At 39.4% G+C, this 27,987-nt stretch overlaps 1 protein-coding gene across 5 annotated transcripts in view; it reads right to left on the reverse strand.

The window, feature by feature from the left end:
* Positions 1 to 27,987, reverse strand: part of GRIN2B (glutamate ionotropic receptor NMDA type subunit 2B) — a 444,798-nt gene that overhangs the window by 325,203 nt on the left and 91,608 nt on the right. For all 5 annotated transcript variants that reach the window (NM_001413992.1, NM_000834.5, NM_001413993.1 and 2 more), the window contains one exon: positions 3,259 to 3,687. In NM_001413992.1, coding sequence (NP_001400921.1) covers positions 3,259 to 3,669 — 411 coding nt within the window. In that variant the 5' untranslated portion in view covers positions 3,670 to 3,687. The remainder of the gene's footprint in view (positions 1 to 3,258; positions 3,688 to 27,987) is intronic.

The raw sequence follows: 27,987 nt of genomic DNA on the forward strand, positions 1-27,987 counted from the left end.
CAGTTCCACTTTCAAATGTTTTTTGTCCTATTCCCCTGTTGTTGATTAATAGTTGTCCAACTGTGTGTCCCCATTCTATGTTTGTAAAATATGGTCATGGTACTTAAAAATAAACTTCTATTAAAAAAACAAAACAAAACAAAAAAAAAACCTGGCCTTAGTTTTGAGGTGTTTTATCTTTGAAATTTGTCCCAAAGGCTTTTTTCTCTGAGATTTGGGGACTCTTTTTATTGGCCTTTATGCAAATCTGTTAAGCCCCCAAACATTCCTCTGCATGGCTGCTGGGAAGTTTGCTGCTGGCACTCTCTCTCCAGGTAGCTCCTGCCACCACCCATTCAGCATCGAACGCCTGGGGCTGAGCCTCCAACTTTCCAGGATCTCCATTACTGGATCTTTTTCTTTCTTCTTTTCCCTCTTGCTGCTTACCTTTTAGAAACTATTCTTTCCAGGTCAAAAGTCAGATATTTACGCTATTTTAGAAAAGCATCTAAAAGTCACTGCCCACCTACCTCCTTATTTGGCGGAGAGAAAGACATGATGGAATATTTGGGTGTGGTAGCAATGAAGGAAGGAGCAAGGGGAAAGTGATGAGAGGAGGTCTCATTACAGTGACCTAGAAGAATTCACTTTACTGGTGTCAGTTCTCCTATTTACTCCTGGAAGGCAGTAGCCAGTGGGTCCTCTATGGAACTGTGCTACACTTAAGCGCTCCACCATTTCATACCCTTGTTATGTTCTCTTGTAGTTAGACTCCAGTATTGCCTGATTATAAATCATGTAATAGATCACTTTCAGTCAGATGACATCCCCCACAATGCCATCTAACAAGGGAGAAAGTGAAGGGTAGTAAGATATATGAGACCTTAACCAGTCATTTTCTTGAGAGACAAGAGAGTACACAGCCTTTGAAGCTAGCAACCAATGTTAAAATCCTGGCTTCCACTTAAGAGCTGTAGCATTTTGGATATGTTACTTAACCTCTCTGAGCCTCAGTTTCCCCATCTGTAAGATAAAGATTAAATAATATCACTTAGGTCGCTAACTGGTTAAGAGTATTAAATAAGATAGTACATACACAGCACTAAGCGCCTAGCATATGGGGAACACTCTCAAAGCCCCTAAGATACATCAGCGAAAAAAAGAGTTCAGTCTCTCTGCATGCTCTGCAAGTTACCTTATATTTGTATAATGATGTTGTGGATTTGTAAAAGGTACCAGAGAGAAGCAATCAGCTAGTTTAGGCATAACTTTTTCTACCAGGGAGAAATAATATAGGTTGCACAACAGCCCACATGAGAAAAAAATCATTTTTACCTGTTGTGCTCTCAAAGTAGATATGTACTTATTCATGGTAATTTTAAAATTCGCTCTTAACCATATCAGAATTCTTTCAAAGCAAAATTGTGCCCTCAAATTGCCACTGTTAAAATAAAATATAATTTGCTAAGGACAATCATATTTGAAAAAAAGAAAAATCTACCTGAAGCACAACTCAACGGGTTCTGCCACAGCAGTCTACATTTTCCATTTTGCTTATTTTTCCCACTTCCCTTAGCATGGGCTATTTGTGCTAGTGCCTATTTTCTAACATCTGTACCTGCACCCACGTAAATGGAAGAATATGTTTCTCATATGATACTGGAATGTCTTCACTTAACACTTTTAACTTGACCTTTCCTAGACTGAAGGGAAGCTCTGAAGCAGAAGCTAGTCATCTCTGCCTGCTGCCGACAGGTGGCGGTAACGGTCATGCAAGGTTCCTTTAGTCTCGGCTCAGCTGCTCCACTGCGGAGGTTGTCAACTAGCCAGGCAGCATGCTTGTGGTGTCTGTGCTAGGTTTTAAGGTGTTTACAAACATTATTAACCCGAAAGCATGTCTTTTAAGTACAAAACTAAAGGCAGGTTTGAATGTGGTGATAAAAAGTATGACAATGACAATAGTAGAAACCCAAAATGATGAAAAATGATAAACGTAGCACTTGTGGTGAAACTAACTATTCTAAGACGTGAATGGCTGGCTGCAAAGGACAGTGCATATGTACTAAGTGCTGTATCTAAGTAATGAACAATAATCAGTAAAGCAAGGAAAATAACTGAATAACTGATAGTATGTAAAAACAAAACAACCCAAAGCAGAATAAAACGCTTTTTTCTGCAGTTAGGGAATAAGCCCCAGTGTCAAGTGGCAATTAGTCATATGACAATTAGCCTAACATTAACGCAGGAGAGGCTAGGATTTGTTGGAGATTTAAAGCAGTGGTTGTCAATCTTAACTGCACTCTAGAATCACCTGGGGAGCTTTTAAGACTCCCGAAGCCCAGGCCAATAATCAGAATCCCGAGGGGTGGGACTCAGGCATCAGCAGTGTTGAAAGCTCTTCAGGTGATTTTAATGTGCACCCAATTGCCTTCAAATCTAAGCATGGGGAAAAATGTGTTGCTACAGGTTCCACGGATTAAAATCCATCTGGATGTGCAGATCAATATGTGTGATGAGCGTTAATACCTTGGCAAGAATTATTTCCCTATGACATTTGTATCTTCAAGTAGAGAAATCACCTGCCTTGAGGGATTTTTCTTTTTATAGTCTTGAAAACAGTATGGGGGAGAACACGTATTGCCAAAGAATAACAGAGTATGCCTTTCATATACCTATTTGAAGAAAAGGTATCCCAGAGCTACAAGCGTCAACATCCCTTAGTCATTTCAGTGAGTCCATTTACAAACAAGTGGACACAAAAACCTTTTCAAAACTATAGGAGTTTCTAGATACCAGCACCTTTCCCTCACTTTCATCTTTAACAGATTGCTAAGCATGCACGGTGGCTCACGCCTGTAATCCCAGCGCTGTGGGAGGCTGAGGCAGGTGGATCACCTGAGGTAAGGAGTTTGAGACCAACCTGGTCAACATGCTGAAGCCCTGTCTCTACTAAAAATACAAAAATTAGCTGGGTGTGGTGGCAGGCGCCTGTAATCCCAGCTACTCGGGAGGCTGAGGCAGGAGAATCACTTGAACCTGGGAAGTGGAGGTTGCAGTGAGCCGAGATGGCATCATTGCACTCCAGCCTGGCTGACAAGAGCAAAACTCTGTCTCAAAGAGAGAGAGAGAAAAAAAAAGGATTAATTGCTGGCCTATCCACGCTGTCAATGCAATCTGGTTACCTTCCATCATTAACAATCAAGTTTTACAGGAAAACAAATGCATGGTTTAGTCCTCAGCACAAACCCTCAGGCCCTTCTCCCTGCAGCCCCTTTTTACCTTATCTGCCATTATCATAGAGGAGCCCCCGTGGATGCCCAGGATGGGGGTGAGAGTCTGTGCTGAAATGAAATCGAGGATCTGGGCGATGGCTTCCTGGTCTGTGTCATCAGCAAACACCACCCCCTGGATCTTCCGGTCAGACATGAGATCACAGATGCGGGTGATGATGCTCTTTGGGTCGGTCTCATTCATGGCTACCAGTTCCACCCGGGGTACCACGGAGAGATGGTGGAAATCATCTTTCTCGTGGGCATCCTTGATGGCCACCTCGTCGGAAGTGCCCACGAGGATGACAGCAATGCCAATGCTGGGGGGGCTCTTCTGAGAACGAGCTCTGCTGCCTGACACGGCCAGGACGGCCAACACCAACCAGAACTTGGGAGAACAGCACTCCGCTCTGGGCTTCATCTTCAACTCGTCGACTCCCTGCAAACACAAAGAAAGAGCATGTTAAAATAGGATCTACATCACGTAACCTGTCTTAGAAGAGGCTAGATACTGCAATTCAAGGACCTTATCTCCTTTCATTGAGCACCAAACCCAACTCCATCTACCAGCCTACTCTCTTATCTCTGGTATTTGCTCTGCAGAATGAGAGAAAATGAAACTTTCAAAAGCCTCAGAAATCCTTGAACAAGGCAATAAAAGGTGCTATTGCTATAGTCATTGGCAGCTACAGGCAGAGACAAAGGAGGAAAAGAGGTTGTGAGTGGTCCAGGTAGCCATGCGAGTATGCATACACAAATCTCCTGGCCCTCCTGTTACAGCCCACCCTTGTACTGTTCTTGGGCTGAAGGAAAGCAAGGCCAGACAAAGTGAGCAGAAAAACGTGCTCAGCAGAGGTGAGCAACAGAACATGGGCTGGATAAACTGGATGTGGGGGGCTATAAGTACACAAGCCCTGCATTCTTGCTGCCTTCACCTTATGTTTGCCTCAATGAGGACAACAGCCAGAAAATTCTTTAGTAACCTTGTTAGTATCTGGCTCTTAATATTAAACTACAAGAACAACTGATACATGACTAGTAGTTTTAAAACATTGCCTCAATTGATCCTTACAATGACCCAGTAGGGAATAAAATAAGAAAAACATTATTATCACCATTTTTATAAATGTTGACGCCAAGGCTCAGAGAAGCTAAGTGTTCTAAGACCATGAACCAATCAATTAAGTGAAACAAACCTGAACCCAGATCTTCTGACTTTTGTATTCCAATATGTGTTCTATTACACTACGTGGAACTGCCTCTCATATAACCAATTATTATAAGGAACACATATTACTCCAATCTATTTATACACCAAAATACAGAAACTTAAACAAATACCATTAGCAGCTGAAGTAATGTTAGAGCCACATTTGAAAAATGTTCCTTTTTTTTTCCTGATGCCATCCTATAGTCGTGACTTCCCTAAAATGACTGATACCGTATTTTCATATAATTTGCCACCTTTTACCTACAAAGAACTCCTTCCTTTTTACTTCCACATATGACCCTAAATCTTATTCTATGCATCAAACTAAGGACATAATGCTCTATAGAATATAAGCCTTGGCCATCTCTCTCTATGCTTCTCATTATTCTCCAAGAGCTCCTCTTATTTTAATATAACTAGTTCTGCTTATGTCGCTTTATTTTAAATAATCAGTGTTCACTATTCAGGTGATGGCTACACTAAAAAGCCCAGATTTCACCACTATACAATATATCCATGTAACAAAAGCACATATTTACTGCCCGAATCCATAAAAAATTAAAAAGAATCATTTATTGTACATCTTTTATATGCTGCACACTGTGTTAGACATTTCCTCATATATAATCTCTCTGATCTTCATGGACACTCTATAAATTAGACATTTTATTCCCATTTCTCAAATAGAAAAACAGAAGCTCAACACAGTTATGTAATTATCCAAGGTCAATGGCATTATAACACCAGCATGCCAATACATAAACACAGCATTTTAATACTCCAAGGCAATACTCTACAAACTGCAACCAGAACCAAAACCAGATTCTCATTCTTCTACAAAGAGAGAGAGCATACAATCAAGGTTGAAAATGCTGCTTCAGATCTCCTGCTTGTTTCAAAAAAAAAAAAAATGGTGAGAGATTAAAAATCTAAAAGTGTTGAGAGATTAGCTAATCATGACAGTATTGAATAAAGAAAGATAAGGAAGTGTTCGAGTTGAGCAGTCAGTCTTGACTGCAAAGGGCATTAATGATTTGGGAGCAAGATGCTGGGGACATTTTGTGGCTGAAGAAGCACAAAATCCAATCCAGTTCTTGGCAGAAAACATTTTGGAACTTTTACTGGTATAGTCATCCTTCAACACTGCCAAGAAGGAGACCTGTATTGATTGCCTTGTCTCTCTCTCACAAATAAGATGAGTAGCTCAGTGGTTCATGCCTGAGCAAAGTTTACTCCTGACAGTTTTCTGATCTCAGTGTCTCTGTGAAAACAGAGAATGACTCCATGAGCCCTGGAAACCTTTGCTGATGGGCTGTACACAATTTAGCAGGAGAAACAGGGCCTGAATTCCTCCTCCCAGAACTTAAAGGAAAGAAACACTAGATAGGCAATTGAGTAGTACTGATATTCAGAGGAAGACAGAAGGAGTTTGACACCACAAAGAGCTGTGGACAAAGTACACACACACACACACACACACACAGTTCAATTCCAATGACTGGTTCTCAAGGAAAGCCAAAAGATTTACCATTTGGCAAAACTATAAGCTAACTTCATTCCAATGGTATTCTAATCCTACAGTTACAAGTCACTAAATTAGTTTCCTTCACGTTTAAAAGTGGCCCACTCTGCCGTGACAGTTTAACTTTAATGCACTCCACTCTCCCACTTTGATGTTTTATTTGCTCTCTCTAAAGTATCTCTTGTGTTCCTTTATCTTGTCTCACACAATATATTATATTTGGCTATGCAGTGGCTAGTTGTGACACCCAAAGAATAGCATCTGGTTTTACAGAGCATCTCATTTATACTCAGGATACAGCAAAGCACTTTACAAAGCAATACATTATGGGAGATAACAGTAGCAGAGGGGCTGTGAGACAAAGAGGCTACTTTGAATACAAACTCAATTTCCAACATTAAAAGGGGATTCATTGAGGGAAAGCATGTAGTCCAAGATAAGCAGAGTGGCTTTGCTCCCTTCCTCACAGAGACCATAAGTCTTGATGCACCTGCTCTAGGAAGTCTTGCTCTCCCTGTAGAATTGAGCATTGCTTCCTTTGGGCTCTCACCATAGCCTGCATGTATCTATCTAAATACACATAAACTTTTATTACCAATATATGATGATGTGTCCACCTACTTTAACTAGTTGATAACCTCCTTGTGAGCAGGGACTTTTTCAATTCAGTAATTATTGAGCACTTATAACCTAGAGAACTTTTTTCTTTTTCTTTTTTTTTCTTTTTTTTTTTTTTTTTGGTGGGGAGGATGCAACAGATACAGATTCTATCCTTCAGGACCATGGTCTAGCAGAAGATACAGACATAGACCCATAAGGAAAATGTTTTCCTCACTTTTATTCATATTCTTGAGCTCTAACAGTGCCTCATATGCAATAAGGAAGGACTCAATAAATGGTGGCCAATACTGAGTTTCTACCATTAGGTTGAACCATATAAAATTGTTAATATTTGACCATTTTTGACCTGCTAGTCAAATAGTTCAACCTGCTGGGTACCAGATATTATTATTGCCAGGTAAATTTCATGCATTATTAGATACTCACAAAAACATTGTAAGTCATACTTTCCTTTTATTACAAATGAGAAAACTGAGGGTTAAGTACATGACCAAGATTACACAGCTAATAAGGGATGACATCAATTTTCAAACCCAAGTTTGTCTGGCTCCAAAGCCCTTGCTCTTTCCCTTCTGGGGCCTCTCAGTATAATATGAGTGTTGAGTGAATGAATGAATGAATGAATGAAATCCCCAACCAAAACCAACTGACGTTTTAATACCAGTTCTGTGTTAACACAGTGCCTGAGGATGGGCGAGTCACCTAATTACCATCTCTATGCTATCATCGGTGAAACCAGGATAATATACCTAACCTACATACCTGAAAGATTTTTGTGAAGATCAAATGAAAATATGTATATGGAAGTGCTTTGAATAATCTAAAATACTCCACAGATCCAAAGGATATTACGTTTAAGCTTCTATAGAAGCTGTTCAAGGAGCCTAGCTATTTATGATAGCACAAAGTGAGTGTGTGGGAGGTGAGGGTGAAAGAATGGCAGACAGAGGCTGAAAGGAATGTTAAGAGGAACCGCGCATGGGGCAAAAGATGTTAGTTCCCTGAGCGATATAACTCCCTGAAGATGTCCCATAATGGCCTCGGGGTAGCAGCGACCTCCACTGACAGCTTACTAGTCATGTAGATGAATTCAATAATCACTCAGGCCAGGGCCAGTATTGGGAATCAGTGGAGCTCAGCATATCGAAATCATGCCATGAATTCAGAAACCAGGGTGCACCAGAAGGACCAGCAACAAAGCAGCAGGATTAGAGAGTTGACTGTTCACTCATTTGGCTCTTTGCCTCCTTGAAGCTTGGGCTAAGTGATCCCGAGATCCATAGCAAACAGAAGGCCACAGGAGCTTATCTTCATGCTGGTAACTGGTACAGGGTAACTATAGCAGGAAACAGTCTACACTTTGCTCAGAGCAGGCTCAGAGCAGGCTCAAAGGGAAGATACATCTGGGTGAGAAGCCAGGCCAACCCTGTCCTTAGAAAACTGAGTCCTGGGGCAACCACAACTGGAAGAATAAAATGTGACTTAATCAATAATTAAGTCAAAAATATTCCAAGCACCATCCCTTAATGCAGTCAGGACATTATTTGGAGTGATTCAATTAAGGAGACTATGACTGGAATATGACAGGCAGTGAGTGAAGTTAAGATTAAGATGCCAGAACTATGTATCAGGTCCAGTTTTCCAAGCTACCAATAAAGACAGAAAGTTAAGAGACATAGGCTTAAAATATGTCACATTAGAGAGTGGGGAAACAATAATTCTCATACAATGGAAGTCAAGAAGAGTATAAACGAGTATAACCTTTTTGGAGGTCAAAGTGGTAGTATCTATCGAAATTTTAATATCAAGACAAAATAAAATTCAAAGGCAAAAAATATCAAAAGGGACATTAAGTGGTATAACATATAGGTACCAGGAAGAAGCAATCATTATGAACACATATGAGGCTAAAATATAGACTTTTCATGTATAAGGCAACAACTAAAATTTACATGGGGAGAAACAGACAAATCCAACTGACAAAAGATCTTATTAACTAAGACATAAAAGATTTTTTTAAAGCATGAGTTATAAGTTCGAACTAGTTCAGATACCTAGAAATGTATATAGAACAGAGAATAGATGTTCTTTTTAAGTACATACATGAAAAATATTAAATCTACAAAAATACATCAATAGATTAAAAAAATCAATATGAAATCAATTGTCATTTTTCTATAATGTGATTAAATTAAAAGTACTTTTTAAAGGTACTAAAAATACTACATATCCAAAATCTTAAAAAAAAAAAACTTGTGATTAAATAACTATAAGGTTAAAAAGGAAATCATAAGGGAAACTAAAATTCCTTTGAACAGAATAACAATAAAAATACTAAATGTCAGAATTTCTAGAGCACAATTAAAGCATTTACAGAGAAAAATACACTTTTAAATACATTTATAAGAAACCAAGAAAATAAAATATGATTAATTATAATTAAGTTTTCACTTACTGCATTAAAAACTTAACAGTCAACCCTAATAAACAAGAAAATAACAAATGAATGAAACACAAGACAAAGAAAAGCAAAAAACAAAACTGATCTTTTAAAAGACGTAAAGTCCTGACAAGATGAATCAAAAAAAAAAAGGAGAGAAAATGCGAATGAAAGAGAAAATAACATATATAATAGAAATTTTGAAATAATGAATATTATGAAAACTAGTTACTTTTCCATTTAATGTGTAATATATAATAAAAATGGCAAATAGGGAAAGGGGCTGAAAAGAATGTAGAACATTTGAATTAAGTTTTAGAAATTTTAGAAATTGTTATTAAAGCCCACACCCCTAATGTGACAAAACTACTCCCTACCCTAGTCCTCCACTTCCCACCCAATCATCCCACCAGCCCACCCCACCTCTGCCAAAATAAAAAGAAGCAAAAGTGGTACAGATGGTTTTATAGATTAAGTATATCAAACTTTTAAGAAGGAAACGAGCCTTGCTCATATAAGTGGAACAAAAAGAAAAAGACGGAAAGCTTGATTCTAGATTCAGATAATTATAAGAAAAGATTATTATAAACCCCTTCCACTTATGGACATAAAGGAAAAAAAAAACCTTAAAAATTAGTGGCCAGGCACGGTGGCTCACACCTGTAATCCCAGCACTTTGGGAGGCCAAAGTGAGCAGATCACTAAAAATACTAAAAATACAAAAAATTAACTGGGTGTGGTGGCACGTGCCTGTAATCCCAGCTACTCTGGAGGCTGAGGCAGGAGAATCCCTTGAACAACGGAGTCAGAGCTTGCAGTGAGCTGAGATCATGCCACTGTACTCCAGCCTGGCAACAGAGCAAGGCTCCGACTCAAAAAAAAAAAAAAAATAGTGCTAACTAAAACACAGTATATTTTTTAAATAGTAATCATCATCACCATGATCAATTGCGGTTTATATCTGAAATGCAAGAATGGCTTAACTTCAGAATATGTATCAAAATAATTCACCACATTAAAGAACTAAATGAGATATTTACATGAATATCTCAGAAAAATGCAGATAACATACTTGACTAAGGGAAATATATATGATAGAAATGTTAAATTGTGTTTAAAACAAACAAATAAAACATCACTCTTTGATAATAGGAAATCAAGAGATCGTCAGCCTTTACCTGGTGGGTACATCCAATAACTGTAATCTATGTAGGAATTAACAAAAGTCTTAACAAGACCTCTACAGCAAAAATTTGAAAACTTTATTAAAAGATTTGAAAGAAGACCCAAACAATGTAACCATATACCACATTCATGAATGTGATATCATAGTATTTTAAGTTCTATTTTCTATCATTTCAAGCCAATTCTTATCAAAATAATAGTAAGATTTTAAAAGAAATGCTATAAATTTATTCTAAAATGTATAAGAAAGGATAAAAGTACCCAAAGAACTATTAAACACAATGTCCTTATCTGAACCTATAATGAAACTGTGCTATGAACTAAGAAGTATGGTTGACTCAATTCTGCAGAACAGATCCAAAATAATTTTTAATTAATACATTTTTAAGAATTGTAAGTTCCAAGTCAATTAAAGTTTTAAGTTATACCTTCTAAATTTAAATCTAGAGAAGCAGGGCAAATGTTGAACCAAAGAAGTGATCTTGACTCAGAATGCTTAGCTTAGGCAATACATGCATTCATCAACCATCTGAGGTAGGAAATGTGAGTATCACAGATGACAAACATCTACTTTTCAATATCACTATTAAGTAGAAGACCAATATCTATTTTTGTCAAATGGCATCTATATATTCAGGGCATTTAAAAATCCAATTTCAATCCTCTAAATGCACTTAGTGTCTGCTAAACTACTAAATATCATCCAAGTCTGTAGAAATAACACATAAAAGGCACCAATCTTTGATTTGAATTGACTTGGAACCTACACTTCTGTGTTCTGTTATTTTCCTCCCTCTCACACTATTACCATCATCCGTTACTCTTTTCAAGCTTTTGAGCTCCCTTGCCCTGCTCTTTCTTCAGAAAGGAGCAAGGTAAGAAATCCTGAGAGTCTGGGGCATGGAGGCAGGGGCTGAGACTGTGCCCCTGTGAAACCAGTGGAGAAAGAAATATCTCCCTGGACATGCTAGATACATGCCCAATTCATTTGTCATTGAGTGACCCACATGACAATAAACAGGGATCCTTGGTCCTGGAGTTGGGGAATTTACTCACCTAAATATAGTCCTGCAGAGAATTAACCCCAAATGGATTTCAACATATTACAGCCACATAAATAATGGAAACAGAAAATCAAAACCTTCATTAAAGCTGTTTCTTGGAAAATATTTGATCAGAGAAGAGCAGGATAGATGGGAGAGAGGGAAAAGACATAGGCTTTGATTATCCAAATCTCTGAGCCAGCAGATGAACCAACAAGTCCTCTTACATAATGCAGGTAAGGACGCCCATCCTAAGCCCCCCAGCTCCTGTAGACCCTTAGAAGAAGATGGCCCCATCACTGCCAAAAGCAAAGGTGATACTGGATCTCTTGGCAGCAATATTTCTGCTACATCTTTCCTGGAACCTCTCCCGAGTAAGAGCCTTCTCATTCTTCGTTCAACCAGACCTGTCACCTGGGCTCCTTCTTGTCCTTACAGCACTTCCAGTGGCTCAAGCCAGGTTTTTCTATCTGAGCTGTTCTTTCCTGCTGTATGCACAAAGCAGAAGTATCACTTCTACTGTCACCCATATTCTTGATACAAGGTTTGTACAGATAACTAATAAAGGATTATAAATCACTTTACATGTGTGCATTTTAATAGAAATTTGTAATACAAACGTAGATGATTATCAGTACTCTCACCAGCAGCAAACACTCACGGGTTTTTCTTTTTTCCTTAATATGTTGCAAGAGCAGACATCAAAATTGCTCAAAGTTCCTCTCCTAATATCTGCACGCAGTTCTTAATTATAATTAATTTATAGGCCTCCAAGGACAGTGTGGGCACTGCTGAAATCCAAACCTTTTGAAACCTGATTCTGATTATTACCATTTGGCAGCAGATTAGGGCAATTGTGTGTATTGGTTTAACAGCAAAATAGCATTTTCAAGTGTTAATAAAAATTATTGGCTTGTCACTATCTATTAAGAGGGGGACGGGCAGTGAAAATGAGCAGATGATAAAAGGAGAAGCACAGGAGCAGGGCAGCAGGAAAATCTCAACTGGGAAGGAGTCAAAGGAAGATACTGGAAGGACTACAGAGAGCAGGGAATAGGGGACAGACCACCAAACCTATAGGCATCTACCCAGAAAACAGTGGTGTTCTGAGCTACAGATGAACAGCCTGCACTAGAGGAGATTTAAAAGTAGGAGTTATATAGGTAAACGTCTGCCATAGTAGTTTCCTGCAGAGATCAACCCATCACCTTGGTATTAAGCCCAGCATCCATTAGCTATTCTTCCTGATGCTCTCTCTCCCCCACTCCCTCCCCACCCCACAGGCCCCAGTGTGTATTTTTCCCCCATTCATGTATCCACGTGTTCTCATCGTTCAGCTCCCATTTATAAGTTTACCTATGTAACAAACCTGCACATCCTGCATATGTACCCCAGAACTTAAAATAAAAGTTGAAGAAAAAAAATAAAATAAAATGGGCGGGCCCTGTGGCTCACGCCTTTAGTAATCCCAGCACTGTGAGAGGCCAAGGTGGGTGGATCACGAGGTCAAGAGATCGAGACCATCCTGGCTAACATGGTGAAACCCTGTCTCTAATAAAAATACAAAAATTAGCCGGGCATGGTGGCGAGCGCCTGTAGTCCCAGCTACTTGGGAGGCTGAGGCAGGAGAATCGCTTGAACCCAGGAGGTGGAGGTTGCAGTGAGCTGAGATGTCGCCACTGCACTCCAGCCTGGTGACAGAGCAAGACTCTGTCTCAAAAGAAATAAAAAGTAAAAAATAAAATGAAATGTAGGTGTCGAAGAAGGCTATTTCCAAGCCCCAACCCCCAAAACAATCTGCTCTGTAGCCCAGACATATTCCAAGCCACCGCATCCCTCCACAAAGCCTCTTTTGCAATAATAATCATGTTGTTTTGTAATGGAGAGAGCAAAGCTTTAGAGTTAATGGACTCACTTTTAACATTTAGTCTTAATTTGCTGTGCGATCTTTACCTCTCTAACTGCAAGTCCTTTATCTGCAAAATGTGAGATAACTACTGCCTTCACAGAATCACTGTGAAGATCGATTCATTTGATAAATGTTTGTTGAACATTTTCCATGGGCCAGGGAACCTGCTAGGAGACAGGATCCAACACAGAATGGGAATGGGATCCTATCTCCAAGCAGCCATTAGACTAGTGGCCAAGACAAATAAACAGGAAATTACAGTATCATGTGAGAGGGCTGTGACAGAGCATGCCCAGTGCTACCTAAGAGATCAGGAGAGTAATGAGCTAAGGACGAACAGATAAGTAGGAAATAGTAGTGAAAACGGCAGATTGAAATTACAAAAGTAATAAAATATCATTTAGAAGATCCTTATAATCTTTTGAAGAAAGCAAGGCCCTAAAGTCAAAAAGAGCTAGAATTGAAACCTGGCTTTGACACTTATCTTGGGCGGGGGAAGGAAGAGAGTAACTTAAATTACCTAGACCTCATTTTCTTCTTTATAAAATGGGAATTATTATCCTCACCTTACAGAGTTGTTGTGAATATTAAACAATTTACTTGAAAGCATCTAGCACAATGCAGTTACCTGATATTTATTCATTGAATGTGAATATATTCTGTTCAGAGGCAGACAAGGAGCTTCTGTTGACTCCAATTACTTAGAAAGGAGTCAAAGAACTTCTGCCCTCCCACCTCCTTCCCTGGCTTTAGCACAATTTCTACTGACCTTAGAAATAGGTTGTTTTAAAAAGTCTGTAAGTGACAATCTCATGGGTAATGTAAACAATACTTAAATTCTAATCCCAGGGAGAGCCAGCACCTACTTCCTCACTCCCTCCCTCCTACCAGCCACCAAATAGCCACCAAATTTTATACAACTATCATATTACTGACATCAGAATAGTCACACGTCAGATTTGGAATCAATATCTTCAATCACAAAGAGTACTGGAAAGGAGTATAGAAGTACAGGAAAGGCAGAAGTCACACTCACTGCTTTTGCTAGTAACAAGGCTTTTCTTGCAAACCCTAATGAAATGAGGCAGGGACTATGTCTTATTTATCTATCTCCAGTACTTGGCAAAGCATGTGGCATAATGGTAGGTGCACAATGAACATTTGTTAATGACATTAATGAATGAACCAGACCAATAATGAGTTGCAACTCTCTAACTCCACTGATCAGAAACAAAGGCACTGTTCTAGGTCTTTCATTTCTCAAGGGTTATTATAACAGAAGGGCAATACAATAAACGCCAATATCATTTCCAACTTCTTGATATATAGGGATCATTTCTAGGTCAATGTTGTTAGTTGGTAATTGCCTATGTATCTGGATGTATATTTGTATGTGTAAATCAATGTTTATATGAGAGTTGCATGTGTGTGAGCTCAAATTAGCCCTCTTTCCCTTGGTCTCTGAGCTATAGGATGGTTCTGCTGATGGAACATGGCACCCAAGTATGACTCAGACTTCACCTCAGAGCCAAGGTTTAAAACAAGCTTTTGAGACTATACCTCAAAGAGAGCCCTGTAGCTAGGCCAGTGTCAATAGGGAACAAAAGCTGCATTATTTCAGCTTCCTGGTTATCAGGCCAACTATAGGTGCAATCACACATTTCCTAATATAAATTTCCATCATTATTCCTACCAGTGTACATAGTTAGCCACACAACTAAGCATAACCGAATTGTGAACTTGTTAAAATCCCTCTAACATTACCTGTGTAACTGAGCACCTATTCGAAGCATTTATTATAAGTTGAAGCTTTACTCTTTAGTTGTTCTTGCCTTCCTCCTCTCTCTCCTTTCTCCCAAATTATAGGATGGGTAGAATAATGGGGTAGGAGGCACACAGACTGAGGAAATTGTTAGGCCTTGTTACAGTTCTACCACTGACAAGCCTGTGGCTCTATTTCCTGATCTCTGAAATAAGAGAAATGAACTGGTTCTTGAAGTCTCTTCCAGCTTTAAAATTCTGTGAATTCTGGTCTTCCACTCACCACTTAAGATCTACTCTCAGGCCAGGCGCAGTGGCTCACACCCATAATCCCAGCATTTTGGGAGGCGGAAGCAGGCGGATCACTTGAGGTCAGGAGATTGAGACCATCCAGGCTAACATGGTGAAACTGCGTCTCTACTAAAAATACAAAAAATTAGCTGGGGGTAGTGGCACACACCTGTAGTCCCAGCTACTCAGGAGGCTGAGGCAGGAGAATTGCTTGAACCTGGGAGGCGGAGGTTCCAATGAGCCGAGATCGCACCACTGCACTCCAGCCTGGGTGACAGAGCAAGACTCTGTCTCAAAAAAAAAAAAAAAAAAAAAAAAATCTACTGTCTACTCCGCTCTGCGCTAAGCCCTGGGAAGCAGACCTGTTTGGACTATATGGTAAACTTCCCAGTCGTCCGGTTTCCAGGTGGGTTTCGCCAATAGACAACACAATCAGGAGATGAGTAGGAACAAGACCAAGACAGGGCTATCGACTCCCCCGACCCACTTCCCTTTCTGCCACTCACTGTGGGCTGGTTGTATCACTTGACTGAAGGTCACAGCTTCCGCTAAGCAATCCTCTCCTCATGACTGGCTCCATACAGCCTACTTCCAGACTTCAGAAATTGCTCCCACCTTCCTCCTTCGGGGCCACGGGTGGTGGTAGCTACACCCAGCTGCTACTAGCTCCAGGATGCCAGTTCATTTCTTGTGGTTTCTGTGCACTGTCCACACCTTGGTAAATAGCCCTTTGACTGAACTATCTTCAAATTAAACAAATTGAGTGCGGCTTCTGTGTTCTGCTGTGACTATAAATGATACAGATTCCTCCTGAGTTCCACAATAATACCTATGAGGCTTTCTTTGATTCAAAGTGGCGAAAGCAAGACCTGAATTCTGCCACCACCACTCCACCACTGAGTCGAGTATGGCCTCTCCTGATGCTACTCCCTGCTTATCCTCAGGCCCTGCTGAGCAGCATCGTAAGCAGCAATGGTCTCCAGGTGCCTGGTCCTCAGCAAAGAACAGATAAACAGCTGAAGACTATTTCAAGAGAACAACCGTCGGGAGCCAGCATTTTGAGAATGAGAAATGTAAAAGCACTGGGAGTCAGAAAAATATAGCAAGCAATTATTAGAATGACTACAAAATAAAATTCAGAGAAAGGCAGTGCATTTTCACTCAGGGAAAATGTGGTCATTAAATGGGACTTTGCTGAAGAAACAAATTGGTTAATGAAGCCCTAACTTTTTATTCTTCTCTTTGATTTGGTCGGAATCTGATTCATGAAAAAATTGAGTTTTAGAATCAATTTTTACTGACTATACAAATTAGAAACCAAAGTATAAGGAAATACAATCATGCGTGGCTTAATGACAGAGCTATGTCCTAAGAAATGCATCATTAGGCGACTTCATCATGGTGCAAACACTATGGAGTGTATTTACACAAAGCTCGATGGTACAGCTATTGCACACCTAGGCCATATGGGATAGCCTATTACTCCTAGGCTACAAATCTGTACAGCATGTTACTGTACTGGATACTGTAGGCAGTTGTAACACAGTGGTAAGGATTTTTGCATCTAAATACATCTAACATAGAAGATGTGCAGTAACGATACAGTATTATGATCTTACAGAACCACTGTCATTATAGGGCACATGACCGTATAACAACACAAGAAAATAAAAAGGTGATATTGCAAAGAAATATATAACGTTAACTTTGTGGTTTTTCTTAATATGCAGAAAAGAAATTAGAATTAGTAAAAAAAAAAAAAAATGAGAACTGTTTGTGAATCTTTTCCTGTAACAGTAATAATATAGTTGCAATTTGGTCACCCTTCACATTTCATAGTGTTTTTGAAAGCAAGTAGCTGCTCTCTCTGAATCCAGCCTCTTGACCCTGCTAGAATAGCACATATATCAGGCCTGAGTGACCATGTCCACCATCGCCATAGGAATGGCAAGGGGGACAGGCCGGTACAGTCAGTGCCTCCTTGTCCATGCCCCACTGAGGCCAAATGGAGCTCCTCCCTGACATGCCGGACACAGCTGCAGGCCAGGCCAGAATCCATGGGCAGAATTCTCCAAAATCAGATAAAGGGAGTACAATCAGGATGTCTGCAACTCTCCCACCTTAAATTAAATGTTGAAAGCTGAAAACTTGACTTACGACTTCACACACCAGCTTCTATCCCTCTGTCCTCAAAAGTCCAATGAACCAACATGTCCTTATTGTGTGTCCATCTGTGAGTCACTGTAAAGTGTGATAAGGAGTCAGAATTCAGCCACAAGGACCTGACACCCCTGCACAGAAAAGCACACACACTCCCCAACACAGGACTGTCAGGGCCGCAGAGAGGGCTAAGGCAGTATAAAGACAAGGGCACAGGGACTGCCCTGGCCTTGGGTCCTGGAGATGCCTTTATTAGGAAGCAGCTTTTGAGCTGGACTAAAGAGCACCGAGGGTATCTGAGGAAAGGAGCCAAAATACAAAAATGAGGCTGCCTTAAGTCAGAAAACAAGTGAGGCACAAAACATATTGGGGAATGAGAACAGCGTGGCCTGGCCAGGAGCAAGAGCCCACGGAAGGAATGTTTGGAGAAAAGCTGAAAAGGCAAGCCAAGGAATTGGGGATGCTCAGCTGGCGCTCGGACTTAACGCTAGAGATGCAACCAAAAACAATGGAAGATCGGGAGGAAGAGGAACAGATCTCCCATCGCTAAATCCATTTTATCCTCAGCTTCCTAGGTGACTGAAACCGCAGCTGCCTCTGAGAGCTGTTTAGGAAATCAGCTAGGCTGGCTTATTACAGCATGGAAATTCCTTCCCTGCCTCCCAAAAACAGCAAATAAGCTGTCACTGTTGAGAAGTGAAGACCCCAGTTTATAATGATTAAGAAACTGAAGTGCTTAAAAATAACATTCAATGAAGCGTTTTCAATTGAAATAATATTCATGGAAACAGTTTTCTTCTCTACACGAAAACTTCCCTCTGCTCACATGAACCTAAGTACAATGACCCTGGGCTACTGCCTGCAACTGCCCTGTGTACAGACGCCTCTCTTCACTCATCTCTAGCCCAAGTCTTCCTTCAGCTCTTGCCTTCCTGTTTACTGTGTTCACTCTCATGCTGTGCAAAGGTTGTTCCACAGCCTATTTGAGACCTCGCATCTGGAGGCAGCTTTGTTTCAGTTTTCAAATTCTCTTGCCTTGCTTTGGCTGACAAAGGGGTATAAGGTTGTGTGTGTGTGTGTGTGTGCGCGTGCGCGCACGCATGTGCGCAGGTGTGCATGCACATGTGCACACGAGAGTATGTATAAAAAAGATAACTTTATTTCTATTCATTTTGCCTCTCCTACTCCATCCTCTTTGTTCTATTCCTCACCTTGTGTCTTAAATCTGTCTTCTCTATTCTTAAAATATGTTCATGAACAACTCCACTTGCCGCTTTTTTTCTGCTGTTCTAATTTTCCCTGGTTGTCCTTTACAAGATTTGTCACCTGTTTCTTCCCCCATTGCACCATCCACCTCAACACTTAATCTCTCCACATTTCCGTGGCCCACTAGCACCTGGCGGTCTCCTTCGGCACCTCTTCCTCTACTCTCTTCCCTTGCCTGGGCCATTCTCTCTTGTTCTTCATCCTGTCTCTTCAGCGGGTTTCATTTCTAGACCAGGATATAACCATGACCCACCAATCCCCTGTCCCCCAACTGAGTCAGTGACTCAAAAGTTACTCTTCCTTAACTAGAAGAAAGGCCTGGTTTCACACTTTTATCCATCTGCCTAGTTGCCTGGCCTCACTGCAAGGTTGACCCATCTAAAACATTTTCACAAGCTCTTCGCATGCCCTTGTCATTTTCGTTTGTCTAATATATATTCAGGCCTAAGTCAAACCCTGCTATTTTCTCTACTTTAGCACCGAATTCTTTCTTCATCACCCGATGCAATATCCTAATATTTTCCAACAACCATCTTTTCTCTGGCTTCTCCTCTCATTCTACATCAAAATATCTCCATTAGAATCATTTTCTCCTGCTTGCCATACTACACTTTCCTTCCTCTAAAACCTGACATCTTCTCTCCTATTCTCCTCTTCCCTCAAGAATCTACATAGAGAGATAGTGATGTGGCTTGACAGGAACATACCTGATTCAGTCTGAGCTCTGCAGAGTTTAATGAGGGAATCACTAAGCCTTTACCTCTGCACCTCATTAATCATCTACACCTTAAAATTTACTCATTCTTCTATCATCCTGTGCATATATTCATTCCTACACCAACTCTCTAAACTGCCATCTGTCACCTCACCGCAGAGTCAATATGAGTCTTTCTTACACAAATCTCCCGGAGATAGATGAAGAAATAACGCAGAGATAAACTAGTGACATAAGATACAAACATAGTATATGTCTCATTTGCCAAGAGGAAGGGACACAGTTCCTGACCTAGAATGCTCTTGAAGGGTAGGAGATTCTGAGTTTATCAGGAGAGCTTTCCCAAGAGATCTGTCCTTTGGACAAAATGGAACTCTGGCAGAGGACTAGTGAAGTGCTCGGAAGCTCTCTGGAATTTGTCTGGATAAACGGAAGGCACCAAAGCAGGAATTCCCCGTCAATCAAGAGGAGGAAAGAGAAGCCAAGTAAGCCATAACAAACAAATAAAAATTTTTTTTTCAAAATTGGCAAATATGATCTATTTTTTAAAGAGGCATTGAGAAATAGTGGAAAATCCCTGGATTCGAGAAAGATTTACTATGTGACCTTAAGCACATCATTTAGCCTCTCTGAACCTCAGAGAGGCTCATCTCTAAAATATAAGCAACAATGCCTCTTTCACAGCGTTGTGAGACTTACGTGAGAAAATGGGTATGAAAGCAGTTTAAAAGTTGAAAGATACTATGCAAATGTGGAAGCTTGTTATTACTAAATGGGCCTGACAAAGACATTATTCATTTATGTATACATCAGTATGTAAATTTTAATTTATGAAAATCTTTTAAGATCCAGTTTACTGAGGTACAATTTGCATACATTAAAATTCACGCTTTTAAGTTTACAGTTCTATAGGTTTTTGACAAATATATACAGTATATAACCACCACCATAACCAAGATATAAAATATTTCCATCACCCCAAATATTTCCGTGTTCCTTTATAATCAATCCCTTAGCCCTCTCCTGTGTGTGACAATCACTGATGTGATTTCTATAATTTGCTTCTCCCAGACATCCTGTAAATGGAATAATACTGCATGCAGCCTTTTGTGTCTGACTTTCTTCACCTGACATAATAGCTTTGGAAATTCCTCAATATTGTTGTGTGTATCAGAACTTCATCCTTTTTATTGCTGAGTAATATTCCTTTGTATAGATTTATCACAATATGTTTATTGATTCACTGTTGATGGACATTAAGGGGTGTTACCACTTTTGGTGATCATGAATAAAGCTGCTATAATGTTCACATATGGTCTGTAGTGTGGATATATGTTTTTGCTTTTCTTAAGTAGGTACCTGACAGTGGGATTGCTAAATTATTGGTTAGAGTACTTTAACATTTATATTTAATTGCCAAACTTTTCCAAAGTGACTATCCCATTTTGCATTCCCACCAGCAGTTTCTCCACATTCTTACCATTCCTACCAACCTATTCTTTCCAAAGTCTTGTGAATGTTCTTTTTTTCCTTCCTTCTTACCTGCCTTTGGTCCTTCTTTCTTTTTGTTAAATTTCATTCATTTTACTTGGTGTTCAGTGGTAGCTCATTGTAGTTTTGAGTCGAATCTCCTGCCAACTAATGATGTGAAAATTTTTTTCAATGTTTATTTACCATCTTATCTCTTCTTTAGTAGTGCTTGTTCACATCTTCTGTCCACTTTGCAATTGAGTTTTCTTGCTATTGAGTTGTGAGAGTTCTACACATATTCTAGATATGTCCTTTATATAAAATATGTATTTTATAAATATTTTCTCCCATTTTGTGGCTGATCATTTTCTTAACAGTGCCTTTCAAAAAAAGAAGTTTTTGTTTTTATGAAGTCCAGTGTAATTAATTTTTTCTTTTATAGCTCATACATTTTGTATATCTAGAAAGTCTTTGCCTAAACAAAGGATATAAAGATTTTCTCCTGTTTTCCTCTAAAAGATTTTTAATTTCAAGAGTTGTATAATTATAGTTCTATGATACATTTTCAGTTTATTAATCACTTTACATGGCACAAGCTATGAGTCGAGGTTCATTTAGGGCTGTATGTATGTTTTGCATATGGATGTACAATTGTTTCAGCATCATTTTCTGGAAAGACTGCCCTTCCTCCACCACCTTGACACATTTGTCAAAAATCTACTTGTGGACTCTTTTATGCTATTACCACACTGTCTTGACTACTGTGCTTTTGAGTCTTACAGACAGGCAGTGTATGTCCTGCAACTTTTTAATTCCAGAATTGTTTTGCCTTTTTGGTTTTGCCATGTAAATTTTAGAATCAGCTGTTAATTCCTACAAAAAAAAAATCCTACTGGGAGTTTGACTGTGTTTTTGTTGAATCTACAAAAATTTAAGAAACGTAGACACCTTAACAATATTGAGTCAGATATTTTATAAAATTTATACCTAAGAATATCATGTTTTTGATGTTACTACAAATTTCTTAAATTTCAATTTCTAATTGTTCATTGATAATATATATACAATTAATTTTTGTATGACCATGTATCCTGTGACCTTACTAAACATTTATTTTAGTAGTTTTTGTGTGTGTGTATTTTTTGCTGCTTTCTACATAGACAGTCATGTTGCCTGGGAGTAATGATAATTTTTTTTCTCCTTCCTCTTCTTTTTCTAGTCCAATAACACTGGCTAGGACCTCCAATAAAAATTTTTATAGAACTAGTAACAGAGAACATCCTTATCTTCTTCCTTATCTTAGGGGTAGCATATTCAGTTTTTCAGCATTAAATAGGATATTACCTGTAGGGTTTTCATACCTTTGTCAAGCTGAGGAAGTTCCTTTCCGTTTCCAGTTTGATGAAATTTTTTAAATCATGAATATGTGTGTGTATATATATACATATTTTTGTCTTTTTCCTTTACAAGAAATATTTCTTTCCACTCTTGCTTCAAGATTCATTCTATGAACTTGGCTGCTCAAAAAGTAGAGACTTAAGAAGGGAGTTGTGCACTTAAATTAGCACATGTAGTGGTTATTTTGGTTAGAGTTTGAGAGATTGAGTGAAGGATCACAGAAAGTAAGAAACCTCCCAAAGAGGTTATAGCTATTCGTGTAGAAGATAATCAGGCCATAAAAAAATGCTGCAGACAAGATAATAGATTTGAAACTGATGAGGGGTAAAACACAGTAAGATGTGAAAAAAGTTGGAGAGGAAAATTGTGCAAAAGTGTTCCCTACACCAAAATTTGGGAGAAGTTAGTGGTGGGAAACAATGTAGAAAATAAGTTCTGTGTATTTTATATCAATTTCCAGATTTTAGCAGTAGTACATAAAAATGCAGAAGTTCCTATAGACAATGAAAGACAAATATTAAACCACAAAAAAGAGCAGTTAGGGTGAAAAATCTGACTTAAGTGTCAACTAAATGAAGACATTACAAGAATGAAATCTATCTCTAAATTGAGAGTGCAAGTATACATTCCTAAGAGATCTTCCTCACTAGCCGGGTGTGGTTAGAAGCCCTCTAAGAGGAACCTTTTCTCCCCGTTAATGTGAAAGATTTCACTCTTTCATCTTTCATGTCCACTTCATCCTCCATATAAATGTTCTTCCCCTGTGTTCTTCCCTCACTGCCCCTGCCTATAATCCAAATCCTGGTCCCTCTGTCACTCAACCCAGTGCTACCAGCAATCAGGTCTGAGAAGCACTGGTAACAAGATCTACAGGAGCGCTTAACAAGGCTTTTATGTATTGGTTTAGGAATCTACCAAGCTTCCTAAAAGAAGTAGTATTCTGAAGTTTTAAATAGGAGTCTCATAAACTGACTTTCAGAATACAACTTGTTCATTAGACAAAGTATTCATGCACAGAAGGAAATAAAGGTGGTAACGGTATATAGCTTAGTTGAGAGCACATATCTAATGCAGTGTTTCTCAAAATAAAATCTGCAAGCAACCTGCATCAGAAACACCTGAGCACTTGGCAAAATTGGCCAATATTTAGGCCTGATCCCAGGCCAGGTGATGTGGAACACCTGGAGATAAATTTGGAAATCTACATTTTCCACAAGCGCCCCAGATGACACTGTTGTGCACTAAAGAGAAGCCCTGATTAGAAGAGTGCAAAAAAGCCAATTGTCCCCCAACCCAATGCACCAAGTACACACAAGTCTCAGAGCAGTGTTTTTCCAAATATGCTCATAACTAGCATTTTTTAAGGGAATGAAATAGACCAGATCAGTTCACACCGTGTTGTAAAGGCAAAGATTATTTTCAGTTTAATATTTACCGGTGTATGTACTGGTTTGATGTTCAATGTATTTCTTAATTGGAAATGTTTTAAAAGCCATGGTTCATATAGTTCATACAGAAATTGCCTCCAAAGAAGCATCCTATACATCATCTGCTCCCACAGTTCCATATCACCCCACATGCTCTGGCTTTGAGCTAGGGCTGGGTGCTTGACCAAGCTCAACCAATTAGGAAAATTGGAACATAAATGCCTAGAAGCTAAATAAGTTAGCTGTGGGCAATGGACTTTTGAGGCCGACTAAACTGCTGGGTTGAGACTATCATTTGGGGTGATGGATTTTGAACAGAGGAGTATTGATGAACAAGCAGGAAGGGCCAGGTGGCAAAGAGAAACAGAAATGGCACCATCTGAGAAGCAAAGAATGAGAAGCAGAACCGAGTTCCCGCAGCCAGCAGGGAAAGGAGACAAGGAGAGCAGCTGCCTGGTTCCTGCAGCCTGCCCAATACTCACCCACCACCCTCCCCAGTTCCTCTTGAGGGCCATACTCCTTCCTCTATAATAAACCTCCTAATGCAAGCCAGCTCCGGGGGTATCAGTGTTTCTTAACCACATGTTTAGAGTATGATGCTTCTACAATAGAGGTTCACAGAATAAACCCTCACCCATAAACACTTATACAGTACTCATGTCACATGCACACTCCAAGTGCTTTATATATAGTAATTCACTTAATCTTCACACAACCCTATGGGGTAGATGTTATTATTAGCCCTATTAGCCCCATTTAACAGACGAATAAACTGAAGTACAGAAAATTCAAGTAACTAACCCAAGGTTACATGGCTACTAAATGGAGGAGCTAGGATACAAACCGAGGCAGTTATCTCTAATGCGCATGCTCTTAATCACTACCCTATATATCCTCTCAGATGTTAACATAGGAAAACAAATTAGATTTCAAGCCAAAAATTATTACAAAAATAAGCTGCAATGCTTTGGAGAAACCGTTCAATGATACAGGAGAAACAAAGACACAAATTTTTTTAAAAAGCACAGATGTGAATAAGGGGCTTCTTAAAACTTTTTAATAATTTGTAGTATTTATACAGGCAAGTACAATCATATAAATACATACATTATAAATGTACATGCAGCTCAGTGAATTTCTATTTTAAAACCCACCATTCATATTTTTCAATACTTTTGTAATTAGGAAGTGTAGTAAAATCTTCACAGGAAAAAAAAGTTTTCTCTATCCTCAAAACTGAAAAAAACCCAAAAGACTAATACGTAGGCATGGGATTACAAGGCACAGAATTCAACAGAACTCATACAAAAGGATCGGCAAAAGATAGCATGAATGGAAGTAGAAAAATAAATAAATAAAAAGAAATCTAAACTTCTAACAGAATGAATCAATTCTTAGTCAAAGTGACCTGCTTTTAGAATGCTTTGGGGATTTATTTCAGTCTTACTTATACTTACCCACTCATCTAGGACAAGTAATAATTATGGAAAGTGAGTAATGAAGACTGATGGTTTGTGGATCTCATGTATTTTATTTCTTTGGAGCAATCTCGAAAAGAAGAGAGGGACAACTGATGCCTCCATGGGTGAGTAGCTCTTAGGCATTTACTTCTGAAGCTTGCTTTGCAGCCAGGTATTACATTTACATAGTGCTTGCCCTCTAAAATGGGAAGAAAACTGTGTCATGTCCTCAAATATATGGTGACAATGGCTCTATCTTAGTGGCTGTGGACTTAGCCCCAGGACTGACGCAGTGCACAGTCCACCTTCAGCCACTTCTACAAGCCTGTTGGCTCCTCTGTCCTAATTCCAAGTCAGTTGAGCAAACAATAAAACAGCTGAATTGGTATCAGAAAGAGAAGGCAGAGAAATGAGAAAGGGAAAGAGAATGAGTGGAATGGACAGAATGTAAAAAGAAACAATTTTGTTTAACCCAAAAAAATCAATATACGGCCATGTATTGCTTAACAACGGGGACACGCCCTGAGAAATGTGTTGTTAAGCAATTTCATCATTGTGTGAACATCACAGAGTGCACTTCCACAAGCCAAGTTGGTATAGCTTACTACACACCTAGGCTCTGTGGTATAGTCTATTGCTCCTCGGCTACGAACCTGTATAGCCTGTTACTGTGCTGAATACCGTAGGCACTTGTAACACGATGGTAAGTATTTGTATATCTAAACACTTCTAAACATTAAAAAGGTGCAGTATAAATACAGCATAAAAGATAAAAAAAAAAAAATAGGCCAGGTGTGGTGGCTCACAACTGTAATCCCAGCACTTTGGGAGACTGAGGTGCGTGGATCACTGGAGGTCAGGAGTTCAAGACCAGCCTGGCCAATGTGGTGAAAACCCGTCTCTACTAAAAATACAAAAATTAGCCGGGTGTGGTGGTGCACTCCTGTGATCCCAGCTACTCGGGAGGCTGAGGCAGGAGAATCACTTGAACTCGGGAGGTGGAGGTTGTAGAGAGCCGAGATCGCACCACTGCATTCCAGCCTGGGAGAGGGAGCAAGACTCCATCTCAAAAAAAAAAAGAAATATCATATACAGTATAAAAGATTTTTTAAAACGGTATAAAAGATAAAAAAAAAAAAATGGTATAGGGCACTTACCACGAATGGAGCCTGCAGGGACTGAAAGTTGCTCTGAGTGAGTCAGGGAGTGAATGTGAAGGCCTGGGACATTACTGTACACTACTATAGACTTCATAAACATTGAATACTTAGGATACACTAAGTTTATTTTTAAGAGTTTCTTCAGTAATAAATTAGCTTACTATAACTTTTTTACTTTATAAACTTCTAAAATTGCTTAACTTCTGTCTCTTTTGTAAGACAGCTATAGAAAATATTTTCTTTCTGTATATCCTCATTCTATAAGCTTTTTTCTATTTTAAAAATTATTTGTTTTGGCTTTTAGATTTTTTGTCAATAACTGAGACACAAACATATACATTAGGCTAGTTCTACACAGAATCAAAATCATTAAGACGTCACTAGGCAATAGGAATTTCTTAGCTCCATTATCATCTTATGGGACCACCGTCAAATATGTGGTCCATTGTACACGTGGTCCATCATTGACCAAAACATCATTATGCAGCAGCACACAATTGTACATTACATATCTAGGCACATAAAACAATTTTGCCATCTACTGATTAAGCTTGAGATAGGACATATAAAATGCTTTTATATCTGAGTCTACTGAAGAAATTTTAAGTAAGCACAATATAATTACCCAGCTTAATAACAGTTAGTGCTTCATCTGCCAACTATTTTATAACCTTTACCTAATTAATTTTCACAAAACCTCTGCAAGGTATGCATGTATTAAATACCCATTTTGTAAATGGACAAATCACGAGCAAGAGGTTAAGTGACTACCTTAAAATGAATAAAAAGGCTAGCATGTGGAATCAGAAGGTGAACTGTAGTAAAATATTTCTGTTCCCCAAGACCATGCCAAACTCATTTTCCCCCGAAACTATCATGCTGTCAACCTCCTGGCATTATGGAATGGCAGCAAGGATGGATTTTCGCACTGGCAAAATTGGCATACACCTGTCTTTCATTCAAATGACAAAAAGCAGTACAATTTTCACAAGTAGATCTGAGCCCAGGAAGCTAACACGCTCAATGGTAACAGATACAGAGATGTACAATCAGGGAAACAATCCTCCCCTTCAGTGACCGTCATTCTCCAGCCTTGCTGCTCAGAGGATTTCATCTTGCCTAGACTTCTAAGAAAAGCCTGATCAAAACAATAGGCTGGCACCCTCCAGTTAGTGAGGATCGAAACTGTCTTCCTGCTCTAATTTTGTCCTCCCTGTACTGAGAGGATGTGAGTCCCTGCTGTCCACAAGACGTCAGCCTTCCTTTCAGCCCCTGCTGGGCTGACCCTGACTATATGGCTGGCCTATCTCGTTTCATGGACAATAAACATTCAGGACGTTGTTTCAACACAGATGAAGAATGGGTGTCCTTTCCTGGATGTTTTGCCACTCCTTACAAAATCACTGCCCCCTCCAGTAATTTTCTCTTGCCCTATCTCTCTGTTCTTTTTGGTTTTAACATCCTGTGAAGTCTGCCCACCTATCTACCGCCTCTAGTAAGCAAACTACATCAGGGATTCCTCAAATCTAAATCTCTTACTGATTGCTCTATAGGTTCTGAAAGCCATATTGGGGATCTGTAAGCTGCAGAGCCTAAACAGCATCTCAAAATCTGATCGTTTGCGGAGGACTGGAGGACAGGTACCACCACTACCCCATGCGCCCAGTGGCAGCACTAGAATTTCTATTCAGGAGAGGTTCA

The sequence above is a fragment of the Homo sapiens genome, chromosome 12 (assembly GCF_000001405.40).
Source record: "Homo sapiens chromosome 12, GRCh38.p14 Primary Assembly".
In the NCBI taxonomy this organism is placed as follows: domain Eukaryota; kingdom Metazoa; phylum Chordata; class Mammalia; order Primates; family Hominidae; genus Homo; species Homo sapiens.